The 13,952-nt window shown below is 35.1% G+C and overlaps 1 protein-coding gene across 7 annotated transcripts in view; it reads left to right on the top strand.

Moving 5' to 3' along the window:
- SEMA3D (semaphorin 3D) overlaps positions 1 to 13,952 on the top strand; it is a 254,691-nt gene that overhangs the window by 155,001 nt on the left and 85,738 nt on the right. For all 7 annotated transcript variants that reach the window (NM_001384901.1, NM_001384903.1, NM_001384902.1 and 4 more), the window contains one exon: positions 13,664 to 13,726. In NM_001384901.1, coding sequence (NP_001371830.1) covers positions 13,664 to 13,726 — 63 coding nt within the window. The remainder of the gene's footprint in view (positions 1 to 13,663; positions 13,727 to 13,952) is intronic.

Raw genomic sequence — 13,952 nt, 5'->3', positions numbered from 1 at the left:
AAAATCCTTCACAAAATTCATTTTGTAATAATCATTTAATAATATCTTTTTACTATCTTTACTCTTGTTTAGACTAGATTTTGAGTCTACTAGAGTGAATAGCGCAGGTATATAATTAGTAAATATTTGACAAATAAATGATTGCAGAGGAAGAAAGTCAAAATTAATTAGATTTTTGGGGAACATTTCCACTATCTAGAAAATAAAAATTAAGTAGACTGAGTTGTTTTTTATTTCTTTGTTTTTTAAATTCTCTGGTATTAAAAGAAGATGGATGATATTATGACCTTTTGTCTTTTTTGAAAATTTTTTTGAGAGGAAGGACTATTTCTATAGGGACTTAGACTTAAAAGCAAGTATAAGCACACATTGCAAGGATGTGACACCTCACAACTTAACTATCCCGAAGCTTAACGATTCCAAAGTTGGTCCGTAAGGCCTCTCTTCGGCTAGGGAATACTCGTGGACTCCTTCTCTGGGACGGGGTCTGGAAAGATGATGCCCATTGATTTGACAGTCCATTCCCCCAACACTAGATCAAAATGGAACAATCAGAACCAGAAGTGATCACATTGTAAGAGAAGGACATGGATCAAGAACTGTATTTACCAGTTATGACACTTTTGTTGTAGGTTCAGTTTCTCCAGAAGCCAACTCTGAGATGAAGATTAGCTCATAAGTGAGTGTTCTTGGAATCAGCCCAGTGGGAGGAAAGCTAGGAAGCAGTATTAGGCAAAGGGAGAATTGAGCTGTGACGTAGCCCCAGCAAAAGCCTCAGCTGACAGGCCAAGCTGATAATGTGGCAAATATTTCAATATATTTTTCTAGTGTGAGTGATAATACCATTTTTAACTTAGTTTATCCTTTTCTCCTATCTAATCTGTTCACCACAACGGTAAGAGTTATCGTCACAAAATTAAAAGTCTGAATGTATCTCACTCACTTGTACAACTCTGGCAGTTTTTCTTAGGAACTTGAATAAACTCCAGGCTTCTTAGTATTGACTTCTAAGGCTCTTCCTAGCCCATTGCAACCCTGTTTCCAGTCTCACTGTTAACTATTCATTGTTCTCTCACATGCACTCTATTTTCTGCTTCTCTCTCCCCACCCTCTCTTTCTCCTTTACTCAAAGCACCCTGTTTATTCTTCATAAAATAGATAATTTACTATCAAGTTCTGTGTCTTTTCTAAAACTTCCTGGATTTCACTTTCTTGCTCATTTCACTGCTCTTCATTCTTGAAAGGCTTTATCGAATTATATTTTTTTCACCTTTTGCTCTCCAAGGCTTCACCTCACCCTCGGGAAATTTAAGTGTTCTTCACGTTTACAGGAGCATTTTATATATTTATGCCAATGTCAGATGTCCTAGCTGATAGTGTTGTCAGTATTCATTTGTGTCAGTATGCCTTCATCCACATTATACATTCCTTGAATAAGGGGATGATTTTTATGCACTTCTGATTCTCTTTTAGTGCATTGCACAATGTCTGATACATAAAATACACTAAGTAGTGTGTTTCTTTAAATTTTGAATTTGTGATTTTGTTAGTTTTCCTTTTTTGAGTAAGAAACCACTATATTACTTTTATCAATTAGCGTGGAATAGATAGCTAACAGAATAAAAGACACCTGAATTTGGCTTAAAAATAAGAAAATTTGTTATATAATATGAATATGTTCAGAGTTTGAGTGACTACAAAGATGAAAATATCATCTGCTTAATGATGTTATCGAGGACCCGGTTCTTTCTCTGTCGGCCACTCTTGGGATTGGCATTATCTTTAGGTTGGTAGCAAGATGGCTGCCACAGTCTTCATGGGTCACATCCAGACAAAGAAATACAAATGGAACAATAGATCATCACTTATATCTCTTTTTTAGGAGCAAAAAAACTTTGCAAAACCCTCTCTTTCATCTCGTTGGCCAGAAATATATTAGTTTCAACTCTCAAACTTGCAAGGAAAGGAGGGTAACTATAAGTTGCTGATATCAGTCACCTCAAGTTGAAGGAATATTTAGGAACGAAACACTTTGAATACTACACTTACAGAGGGAACAGAAAACAAACTTTCTTTAAAAATTAATTGACTTAGAAGACTGATTTTTTCTTTTTCAATTTAACAAAGGTAACCCAAGGGAAACATAAAAGTTTTCTCAGCCAAACAAAAAGAGGTATATATATTGCCTATTTGGAAAGACTTACAAAGATTAGCTAGTTCTACAAGAAAATTATCTGGAAGAATTTATTTTTCTTTCAGTAGATAGCCTTGGAAAGTATTTGTTTCCAGTATTTTTTTCATCTTGTGTAGTAAAAATTGAAAAATCTGCTAATCCTCATAAATAATTATTTTGCTTGTACAAGAGTTTATTTGCCTCTGCAAAAGTTTTCTCGATTCATGATTTAATATAAACTTCATGAAATCTGGTCTGCTGCAAATCTCTTTAATTATGTTGAAAACATATAAGTTTTCTCCCTTTAGTATTTTGACTGTTTTAGGGGTGTGACATTGATAAGAAAGAGTGTCTTATAACTTGGTTCAAAGACTTACATAATATGTTATTCTATAGTCATAGTATTTAGCATTATTCACTAAATAGTTAATGTACAGAAAACATATTTTTTAAAAAATCAAATAACTAAATATGACTTAAGCATCATTTAATATATATCTTAGTGTAATTATACATAAAATAATGCCACTTTTATTGGTTTGGTTTTGTCAGTCTCTGCAGCCGAAACAACTTATATGCATTATAGAAATAAAACTTGGGATACTTTATAAGTGACTACACTTTGAATATTTTTTTCTTTTGCCCTTCTACTTGAGCCAGCATTTCTTTTTCATTTAGTTCAACAAAAATCCATTGAGTATCTATTATTAGCACTAAGCATATTGTAATAGAATATAAAACTCAGATCTTGTCATTGCTCTAATCTTAGTTAGGGAGACAAGGCATAATACAGTTACAAGGAAAGTTAGAAAATTTTAAATGTCCAAAATAATGAGACAGATCACATATGGTAGAAATACAGAGAGAGGAAAACAACTACATGTTGTTCATGGTTTTGAACTAGTACAAGACGGATGAGTAAAATTTGGATTAATGTTAACTGGTTAATCTAAAATGTTTGCATTTAAATTTGGAACTTGGGGTTTGTTGTTTCCTTGTTGTTCAGTTCGAATGGGGAAAAATATGTTTGAGAAATGGAGCAGAAAAGAGTCTATTGTCTATTCTGTATGCAGATTTTTCACTTGATCTTAGCCAAAAGGCCAGAAGTGATTGTATGTAGATTTCTCATAGTTTAAATTAAGGGAGCTGCATTTTCCTGCCCCAGCCCTTAACATCCTACTCTATCTCCTGAGTCAGAGAAAGTATATAAAAGAAGAACTTTAATAGTCCTTCGGAAAGGTGGCCAACTGTGAATAGACATTTATATCTATTTATCATTCATTTACAAGTGATGCATTAGAAGCCTGTTCAGTGTAGACATTATAATAATGAATGTGTTTGACATTTGTACAATATGGTTTAAGGACCCACGGTTTCTAAACAAATTATTCGAAACGACATAGTAACTGTCAGTTTGACTACAAGTGAACATTCTCTACTTCAGCCAGCCTTAAGTAGTCCTAGTAATAATTCATATAAAATCCAGAGCCCTCTCTATGTAAACTTCAAGAATAATGTATACAAGCTGAAAGTCTTCCCCTCCCTCTTTCTCACTCTTTTTTTTTTAATGGAGTCATAGTTGATGGTAAAAAAAAATATGCAATACTCTCTGTTTGGTTATGTTACTTAGTTGGACTTTTGAGTTAATGAATTGTTGGGATCCTTCCATATGAAAATGTTACTTATTTTGGAAGCGGTTCAAACCTGCAGGGATGGAACAAGTCTCTAAACCAGGATGCAAGCAAAGGGTCACAAAGAGAATGACGTATGGCTTACCAAGCTGAGTACTGCTTTTGTGTCTATATTATTCAAGCATTTATTTGTTGGCTTTCTTTCTCTCTTTCTCCTTCCTTCCCTTCCTTCCCTCCCTCCCTCCTTCTCTTCCTTCCTTCCTTCTTTCCTTCCTTCCTTCCTTCCCTCCTTCCTTCCTTCCTTCCCTCCTTCCTTCCTTCTTTCCCTCCCTCCCTCTCTCCCTCTCTCTTTCTCTCTCTTTCTCTTTCTCTCCTTCCTTCCTTCCTTTCTCTCTCTCTTTCTTTCTTTCCTTTTCTCTTTTCGTTTCTTTCTTTCTCTTTCTTCTTTCTTTTTGCATGTAATTGTAAAGATTACTTGAAATCCATAATGCTACACCTTTATGTTTGAGCATTTATATTGTGAAAATAACTAACCTAAATGAATTTATAATTTTACATATAATAATTTCCAGTGGAATATTTAAACACCCTTCTTTGTCTAACATAAAAAGAGCTTTGTTATTTCCCTTTCTTTAAGGAAGTCTAGAACAAGAGTTTTGATACATGAGGACTCTACACTTGCTTGTTTGATATTAAGTATAAGCAAAAATACTATTATAAATCAGAATGATGTTCTGACTCCAGTTCTATTAACTTACTCTATGGCTGAGTAAGACATTTCTGTCTAATGCTTTAGCTTCTAAGAAGTCTATTACATAGTGGGAAAAGAAAAGAATAAATAACCTTCTCACTTAAAATCAAATTATTTGTAAAACAAAATCATCAGTCTTTTAATTCTTATTTAATACTTGAAATTAAGAAAATAGAAATACTTGGAAAGCATGTGGACATCCTAATAAATTAACTTTTGCTATAAGACACCCTGCTTAGTTTCATGTGATTAATCTGTTTCCATTGCCTGCCGAGCATATGCTGTCTAGTAATCACAGAGCTAAAACAATCGACTCGTTCATGGATGTGCTGGCTCCCTAGCCCGGGTGCTGATGTGCAGGTCCCATCTGGTTACTGTAATGGACTGTCAGGATGTTGTCAGACTGCTCAGACCTCGCCAGAACTCTCACAAGAACTCCTTCTCTGTGTCCAATTCTATGGGAAACTCTGCAGATTACTTTTCAAAGAATAATTATTGAGCGCTCACCATGCCAGATTCTGTGCCAGGTGCTAAAGGTGGTAGGAAGAAAAAGCAATGTTCCTTGACACCAGACATCAGTGCTTACTAAACTTCAGTAAGTCATGGATTAGAGGTGTTGAATAGTATTCACTACAAAAGTTTGAAGTCCATCCGCAAGAGTAATTGGACCACAGGTTCTAAATTACTGACCATTTGTGGACTTCTTAGATTTATATTAATTTGTATGGTATATTAGCATTTCTCTCTCTTTCATGCAATACATATTTGTAGGTGTTTTTTTGTTTGTTTGTTTTATGAGATAGGTTCGCACTCCTGTCACCCAGGCTGGACTGCAGTGATGTGATCTCGGCTTACTGCAGCCTTAACTTCTTGGGCTCAAACAATCCTCTCACCTCAGCCTCCTGAGTAGTTGGGACTACAGGTGCTTGTCACCATGCCCAGCTAACTTTATTATTATTATTTTTCATAGAGACAGAGTGTTGCCATGTTGCCCAGTCTGGTCTCAAACTTCTGGGTTCATGAAATCTGCCCACCTCACTTGTAATCCCAAAGTGCTAGGATTACAGGGCATGAGCCATGGCACCCGGCCTTGCAATACATATTTATTGAGGTTCTACTATATTCCTGATACTCTTCTAGATGCTGAGAATATAGTGAAAAATAAAACAGGTCAGACATTCATGCTCATAGTGTCTTCAATTTGGGAATAGAGAGTTAATGGAGAAAAGGAAACAAAATAGCACTTATTGCGAAGTATTATGTTAAAAAATGTGTGGTGTTCCTGGGAAACTACTTCAGATTGGTTATTAGAAAAGACCTTTCTGGGGAGATGATAATAAAATTGACAGGTATTTATAAGAAGGGATCATCTAGAAGAGGTCAGATGTATTTTAGGTAGAACAAGCTCTACCTAGAAGATAATAATGAAGTATTATTTTAAAGAGCAGCATTAGCTGGCATACACAAAAAAGCTCAAGAAATGTTTACTGCAAGTTTCTTTCAAATGAGTATTAACTTGGTGGAGATGATTTGTGTTTTAAGGCTGGGCTGCTGAGATTCACACCTACCTAAGGTCACAAACCAAGCGGCGATGCAGTAGGGACTCACATTCACGTGTTCTGATTGCACTGCATTTAATTGATCTTTACACCTGGAAAAAGGTCTCAAACTAAACTTACTTTTGAAAAAGAAAGTGCAAATGGATGTGATAAGCAAAAGTGTAGTAGAAGACAGAGATGATTCGTGGAAGAAAGCTAAAATGCAAGCGAGGCTTCTGAGCTGAGTCGGGAAAAGGGAAAGGGAAAGACAATTGTCACCCAAGGCTTCATGCAGAAAAATCATGGAAAAGACCACTTTAGACTTTGCCTGGAACTCCATCTTCTGTATTGAAGCACATTTTCTTGGAAAATTTGTAGGCCTGCCCTTATATAAAAATCTAAAACAAAACAAAACAAAACAAAAATGGAGAATTAAACTTCCCTTCTGTAACAATTTCTATCTAGGCCAGGCCAATACCCACTGCGCAAGCTTTACCTTTGGCGCTGTTGCTCTTGTTTTGCAACAGGAAAACACCTCCCTGTCCTGGGAACCCAGAGTAACCATTGCTCTTTTAGTTGTTCAAATCCTTGTATCATATAGCATTCAGAGTGACATTTTTTTCTTTAAAGCCATTTAAAAACTTGTATCCTGTTTTTTGAAAGAGATGGCCACTATCTCAAGGGTTCTGAATTTTTGTCTTTAATTAGGTTTTTATGAATAAGTTTCAACTTCCTTTTGTGTGTCTCATTCAGTTGTTTTGACATCTCTGAATTAGGCTGAGGGGCATTTGACTGACCTTGCACTTGCTAACTTGAGTCAATTAAATTGCTTCTCCAAAGATGAAACAAAGAGCAGATATAATTAGAATTTCCTTTGGATGTTGTTATAAAGTCTTATCATTATTTGAATGTTTCTGTAACTTGCCTAACACTGAATAATTAAAAATTAATTGTCTGACATTTTCACCTTACTAAAAGATAAGTGAAACAACAATTGTTAGGGATACTGCAATATTTTATGAGTCCCTTCTAAGTATTTTTTCAAAATGAAGTAAAAATAATATTAAAAGGACAAAAAGTTGTTTTGGATTTTGGACAGAGAAAAGTAAATAAAATCAATATAAATTCAGACAGTTTACACTATATTTACATAAAAAAGTATTATTAAATCTTTTTAAGAATATGTTTAAACTATAACTTTATGCACAAAGCCTATTTAAGGAGGCACTGAAGACAATTTTTATTTCAATAATATGGTCTCTTTTCATACTAGTAAGCTATACAACTCTAAAAGAAAATATACAGATATATGTTTAGATAATAATATTTGAGCCTTCCAAGGTTAGCATGAAAAAATTAATCCTTTGGAAATAATCAATTGTGAAATACTATAAAGGCAACATAAATATACTAATATGGGTCAGTAAATTATAGAATATGAGGACTGGCTTATGAGACATACTTGTTTAACAGTGTTGACCCATAAACTCTTATTTCCAAGTGAAGACATTTTATAAATTTATTTACTTCTGTTTGCCAGTTTTCTGTTATCAACTAGATCTGTAAGAATTAGCACTCAAATTAAAACCAATTTGCAAGTATTGTTTAATAATTGTTCAATTACTAGCTATACCCTGAATAAGTAAGTTGAGAGGAATTCTTAGGTTCTTCTGGATCCACAGAAAAGATCTCCGTTTGATTTCTGATGTCTCCTGCACGTGGGTAGACAGCAACAGTAAGCTCTCTGCATATTTGCAGTCCTTGATATCAAGGCTCTAAGGTCCCAAAGACCACAACCCACCAAAATTATATCCTTAAAATCTGTATCTGGTGCATCAGCACAAGGTTAGTTAAGAATTAGTGTTTTGTGGGAATATTTCAGAGCAATTAAAATCTGGCCATTAGGCAATGGCATCTCTGTTTCTGGTATGACTCTCTTTGATAAGTGAAGGAAAAATATCTGTGGATGACTTTCTAAAGGACAAATACGGTTGCATCAGCTTTTAGAAACAGGGCCATGTGCTTTGTTGTGTGCTGTTTCATGCAACTTTTAATATGTCAGGATACTGTGTGCAAGACACACTACAGTGTAAGAAGATTTATGTGGCATTTTATTGCTGATAAATTCAAAAGGCAGTAAGAATATTAATAATCACTGTCTCAAAATTGTTCATATTAACTATTGATCCTGAGGGCTGACTTTTAATAGATAATGTGGACATTATATTTTTAACTATATGGTGTGACTTTTGTCTAATAGTGACGCAATCTCAAAGTGTACTGACTAGGCCACTAAAATAATCCAAGGAACACAGGTACCTCTTGGGCTCTTGTACAACAATGCTGGAACTTCAGCCTGTATGTGAAACATATCTTATTCTATACCCAATGACCCTATAGTTGACATCTCTATTTTTCCCTTTATATAACTGCGTGTGTCTCTGTCTTTCTCTCTCTTACTATTTTCCCCCTCCACATGCATCTATACACACACACACACACACACACACACACACACGGAGAGAGAGAGAGAGAAAGAGACTAGAAAAATATGAAAATAGTGGAATGCTGTTATATATGTGCGTATATTGTACATTATATATCGCATTATATAAAGATTATATATAATGTGATATATATATACATATAACACTTCAAAAGATTATTGAAAATTTTGCCAATTCTATGTAAGAATAAGAGCGGATCTTTAAAAATGATTTTGTCTTGTTTTTCGTGTTTTTAGATTGAATTAAGGGAAATTCTGTCTCTTTAAATTCTTTATCAATTAGGAATAAAAATGAATATTTAAAAAAAATCTCTTTAATGACTAGGTAGTATGTAAGAAAAAAAATCCACCACAAATCATAATTAAACTGACATCTTTTCAATATTGACACAGCTATAATGACTATTTTTCCCTTCTAAGTAAATGTTTAGAGTCTAAAAGACAATCAGATATATCATAGGTTGTTTTTGCTTAAGGTAATTCTGTTAGTGATGACTAAACCTTGGCAGCATTGTGTCAAAATAAGCCAATGTATAATTTCAATAAATCCTTATTTTTGAAGGTTTTAATTTTACTTTAAGAAGTAAAATTTTCTTTGTGATCCTAGCTCATAATCCCTGTGCTTGTATATAACATTTACTTGCTAATCAAAAAGTCAGTTCTCTGAAGCTTGTAATTAGTTGTATGGCTTCATCAACTAGGATGGTGCAACTCAAATTACAATTATGTGACTTATAAGCAATAACTGAAAATGTACAACAAAAACATTAAAGCATCTTTTACAGATTTGTATTCCTTTACAAAGAGAATATATGTGCAATTGCTATTTTAGTGTCAAGTCCCTGAGACAAAATTAGAGTTGAAACCATCTAGCTAAACCAAACTATTATATTAGAGTTGAAACTATTAAGAGCAAGTACTTTAAAACAGAGGATCAAAAGTAGAGACTGCCAGTAAGCGCTCCACAGTGCTCCCTGGGCACGGTGATTTCATCCCGTGTACTCTCTTGTCACTCTGTATCTCCCATCCTAACTCAGACCCAAGCACCTCAATTTGATGCCTTGGCTGACATACAGAAGGCCTTTCATAATTATATGTCTAATGAACAAATAGTTAATGAAGAGTAACTACTTGGTGCTAACTTTGAAACTTTTATTTAGGTTTCAAAAACGATATAAAGAGTGCTTCCACATTTTGTCATTCTTTAAATAAGCCCCTCCTCTTAGAAGCACTAGTGAATATATTCACATTTAATTTTGGAGGCATCATTTATCTCATAATTTAATTTAACTCAATCACCCAATACTATGATTTGAAGTAAAAAATAAAACCCTGTGATGGCCTTTATCCTTTTTAAGACTCATTTACTTAATATGAAAGAGTTATATATTTTTTTGTTTCCTACATTATTATTTGTATGATATGTAATTTTGAAAAAATCTATAGATATTTGCCCTACATGTATTCCTTAAATGTGATTAAACCTGATTATCATCTAAAACAAACAAAAAAAGAACAGGATCTTACATGCTGAAATGATTCAAAGAAATATTAATCTGGCAACATAGCAAAGACATGGAATCAACCTAAACGCCCATCAGTGGTAGACTGGATAAAGAAAATGTGGTACATGTACACTATGGAATACTACCCAGCCATAAAAAAAAGAAACAGACCATGTCCTTTGCAGAAACATGAATGGAGTTGGAGGCCATTACCCTTAGCAAACTAACACAGGAACAGAAAGCCAAATACTTACAAAATGGACTTCTATGTGTCCATGTGTTCTCATCACTTATAAGTAGGAGCTAACTGATGAGAATACATGGATATATAGAGAGGGGAACAACACACGGTGGGACATTTTGGAGTGTGGAGGGTGGAAGGTGGGAGAGAATCAGAAAAAATAACTAACGTGTACTAGGCTTAATACCTGGGTGAAGAAACAATCTTTACAAGAAAGCCTCATGACACAAGTTTACCTGTGTAACAAACCTGCACTTGTACCTCTGAACTTAAAAGTAAAAGTTAAAAAGAAAGGAAAAAAAAAGAAAATATTATTGAAAAAAAAAACCTTTCCTAGGCACAAGGTCTGCATCAATAAATATATTTTGAGTGCATTAAAAATATTAAATCAATTGACAGGTTATGGAAAAGTATTCTGTGTACTATTTTCAGTCCAATGATATAAAGTTGTCCTTTGTAAAATCACTGTATTATTGAAGAACCAGCAAGTACAGCATTTCACTTTTGCAAGATGAAAAAGTTCTAGAGATTGGCTGCACAACAATGTAAATATACTTAACATTACTGAATTCTACACTGAAAATTGTTAAAATGGTAAATTTTATGTTATGCGTTTTTAACCAAAATTAAAAATAATAATAAAATTGGACCAGTGGAGGGGGGAAAAAGTGAGAGGATACCTTGAGAGTTCATAAGCTCATATCTAAAGCAAAGACTCTGAATTCAAGATGCAATTTTTTTTTTTTCTTTTGAGATGGAGTCTCGCTCTGTCGCCCAGGCTGGGGTGCAGTGGCGCGATCTCCTCTCACTGCAAGCTCCACCTCCCGGGTTCACGCCATTCTCCTGCCTCAGCCTCCCAAGTAGCTGGGACCACAGGCACCTGCCACCACGCCAGGCTAATTTTTTGTATTTTTAATAGAGACAGAGTTTCACTGTGTTGGCCAGGATCGTCTCGATCTCCTGACCTCGTGATCTGCCTGCCTCAGCCTCCCAAAGTGCTGGGATTAGAGGCGTGAGCCACCACCCCCGGCCGATGCAATTTTTTTTTTTTGAGACGGAGTCTCGCTCTGTCGCCCAGGCTGGAGTGCAGTGGCGCGATCTCGGCTCACTGCAAGCTCCGCCTCCCGGGTTCACGCCATTCTCCTGCCTCAGCCTCCCGAGTAGCTGGGACTACAGGCGCCCGCCACCACGCCCGGCTAATTTTTTTTTGTATTTTTAGTAGAGACGGGGTTTCACCGTGTTAGCCAGGATGGTCTCGATCTCCTGACCTCGTGATCCGCCCGCCTCGGCCTCCCAAAATGCTGGGATTACAGGCGTGAGCCACCGCGCCCGGCCGATGCAATTTTTAAGAAGCACTCAGTCCAGTATTTTTGCCAGCAATGATGAATAACAAAGGAACAACCAGAACAAAAATAACAAACAAACAACATTTGAAGAAACGTTCCAATTTTGGGCCAGCTGCAGTGTTCCATCTGGATTATTGAGTTATGGCTTCACGATTCTGGGTTTATGACTAACCATTGTCCATTGGTCCATGCATTGCCCACTTTAGTTAATCTATTTACTAACTTACATTATTCTCTTTTTCTTAATTATGTTGTTAAACACGTGAAAAATGCACCCTCAAGCACAAATGCTAGAATCTGGTAAATAACCTGTTTCTTACCTCCAAGTCATCCTTCCCCTCGTTTCCCATTTTGGCTGGCCATTTTTCTAAATCCACCCACCTATACACCTGAAATGTAACCATTTTATTTTAGTTGCTTTTAACTTTATTCTAAAGCAAGATGTGCGGTTTGCAATTTGAGGAGATATTCTTTTTAGACCTAATAATGAGTTGCTAATTTCCATTCATATTGCTTTTCATTGCTGCAGCTCACTGATATTTGACTGCTGGCTACTATTTAAAGTTGTGTGATAGTAGAACTACAGTGATTCAAACCATTTCTGAATAAATAGCATTTTCTAGTCGGCATTGTGTACCTTATCAAGGTTAGCTGATCACTTGAGCCTCTGCTGCCTCCACCACCTGCCTATATACATATCTGGATTGTAATTTGTGAATGTTAAGATCTTCTCTAAGTAAACAATCTTGCTCCGGTTTAAAATCTCAATAATTTCATTGTATTTGTCTATTTTGAATGCTATACTGTGTTCTTTATTTAGAGACATAAAACCCTAAAATTTCACCACAAAGATAATATCATATAAACATTGATGACTTCTAAATCCTTTGTTAATTCCAGGTTTAACAAGTCTCTTTCAGTGTATTCCCTCAGGATATTTTCTTTTTTTGTCACCTATTAAAATATTTTCTGCTACCATTGGTGAGAAACATAATAAAAGTCTATCGGGAACTCCTGGAGCATATATTATAAGTATTTTAGAGCTTGCTTTTCTTGTTCCTTCTTGCTTATAGCTTAACAGAGAGCATTTCTTTCTGTAAGCTAATGGAGTTACATAACTGCTTAAAATTTATTTTGCAAAAACTTTCTTACAGAATTCCTACAAAAACTTCCTGACAGAATTTAAAAGAAAGAAAAAAGCCTTGAACTCAAGATCGTGAAGCATAATTGAAAGCTATCAACCAATGAGTTTGGAGCCCTTGACTTATGTAATGGTTGAGACCCCCCCAGTTCAAGAGTCAGATGGACTTTGAGTCAGACTGTGGCTCTGCCATAAGTTTTGTGGTCCTCAACACGTTATTTAAAGGCTATGTGACTAAGTTTTCTGATCTCAAAATGGGAAGAATAAGTACAGCCATCTCAGAGGGTCATTGTGAAATTTAAGTAAGAGAATGCTTATAAAACATTTAGCTAAGTGGCAGATGCATCTGAGCTCCAAGCATGTTAAATATTGTCAACAAATTCACACTGGTCCTTGGCTTGGAGAAAGAAGTTATGCTCTGACAGAGAGTTGTTTCTAACACTTCATGGCACATGTTTATAATGTACTACTACTCTGAGTAAACACAGAAAAACATGGTACATACAGCCTCTTATTTAGGCAAATGCTCATGTGAAATTCTGTTGACATCATGATAAAGCTTATGGACCTCTGAACATAATGTATCTACTGTTACAGACATTAAAATAGAGACCAGAAGATTCACAAAAATGGATAGTACTAGACACTTTTCTTTTAGAAACTTTCAGGGTGGCTTTGGGAAATATTTAAATCTCAAATTTCCCACATTGACTCTAACAACATGCTTAATACTCATTCTTCAATTTCACACATTCACTCTCTGAGCAGAATTGCAGAGTGTTAGGGTGTTTCAGATATTCAGGTTGTAACATACTTTGAAATGTTTTGCAGATTTATTGGCCTGCTGCAAAGGAACGGGTGGAATTATGTAAATTAGCTGGGAAAGATGCCAATGTAAGTATGAAACTGTAACAATTATCTTTGTAAAACTTCTACTGATATGATAGCAAATATTTATATTGGGCTTTACTGAATTAATGGTATTAGTGTATTATTTTTCAGACTAAACTAACATATTCTATGTGAATATTAATGTGGAATAAAATATCTCTATCTTACCAAAAGCCATGATATTATTTATAAAATTTAAGAAATGTAGAAACACTCTACTTTCTAATGT

Source organism: Homo sapiens, chromosome 7 (assembly GCF_000001405.40).
Source record: "Homo sapiens chromosome 7, GRCh38.p14 Primary Assembly".
NCBI classification, from domain to species: domain Eukaryota; kingdom Metazoa; phylum Chordata; class Mammalia; order Primates; family Hominidae; genus Homo; species Homo sapiens.
The sequence above is the reverse complement of the archived record's forward strand: the minus strand, read 5'-3'. Positions and strand labels throughout refer to the sequence as shown.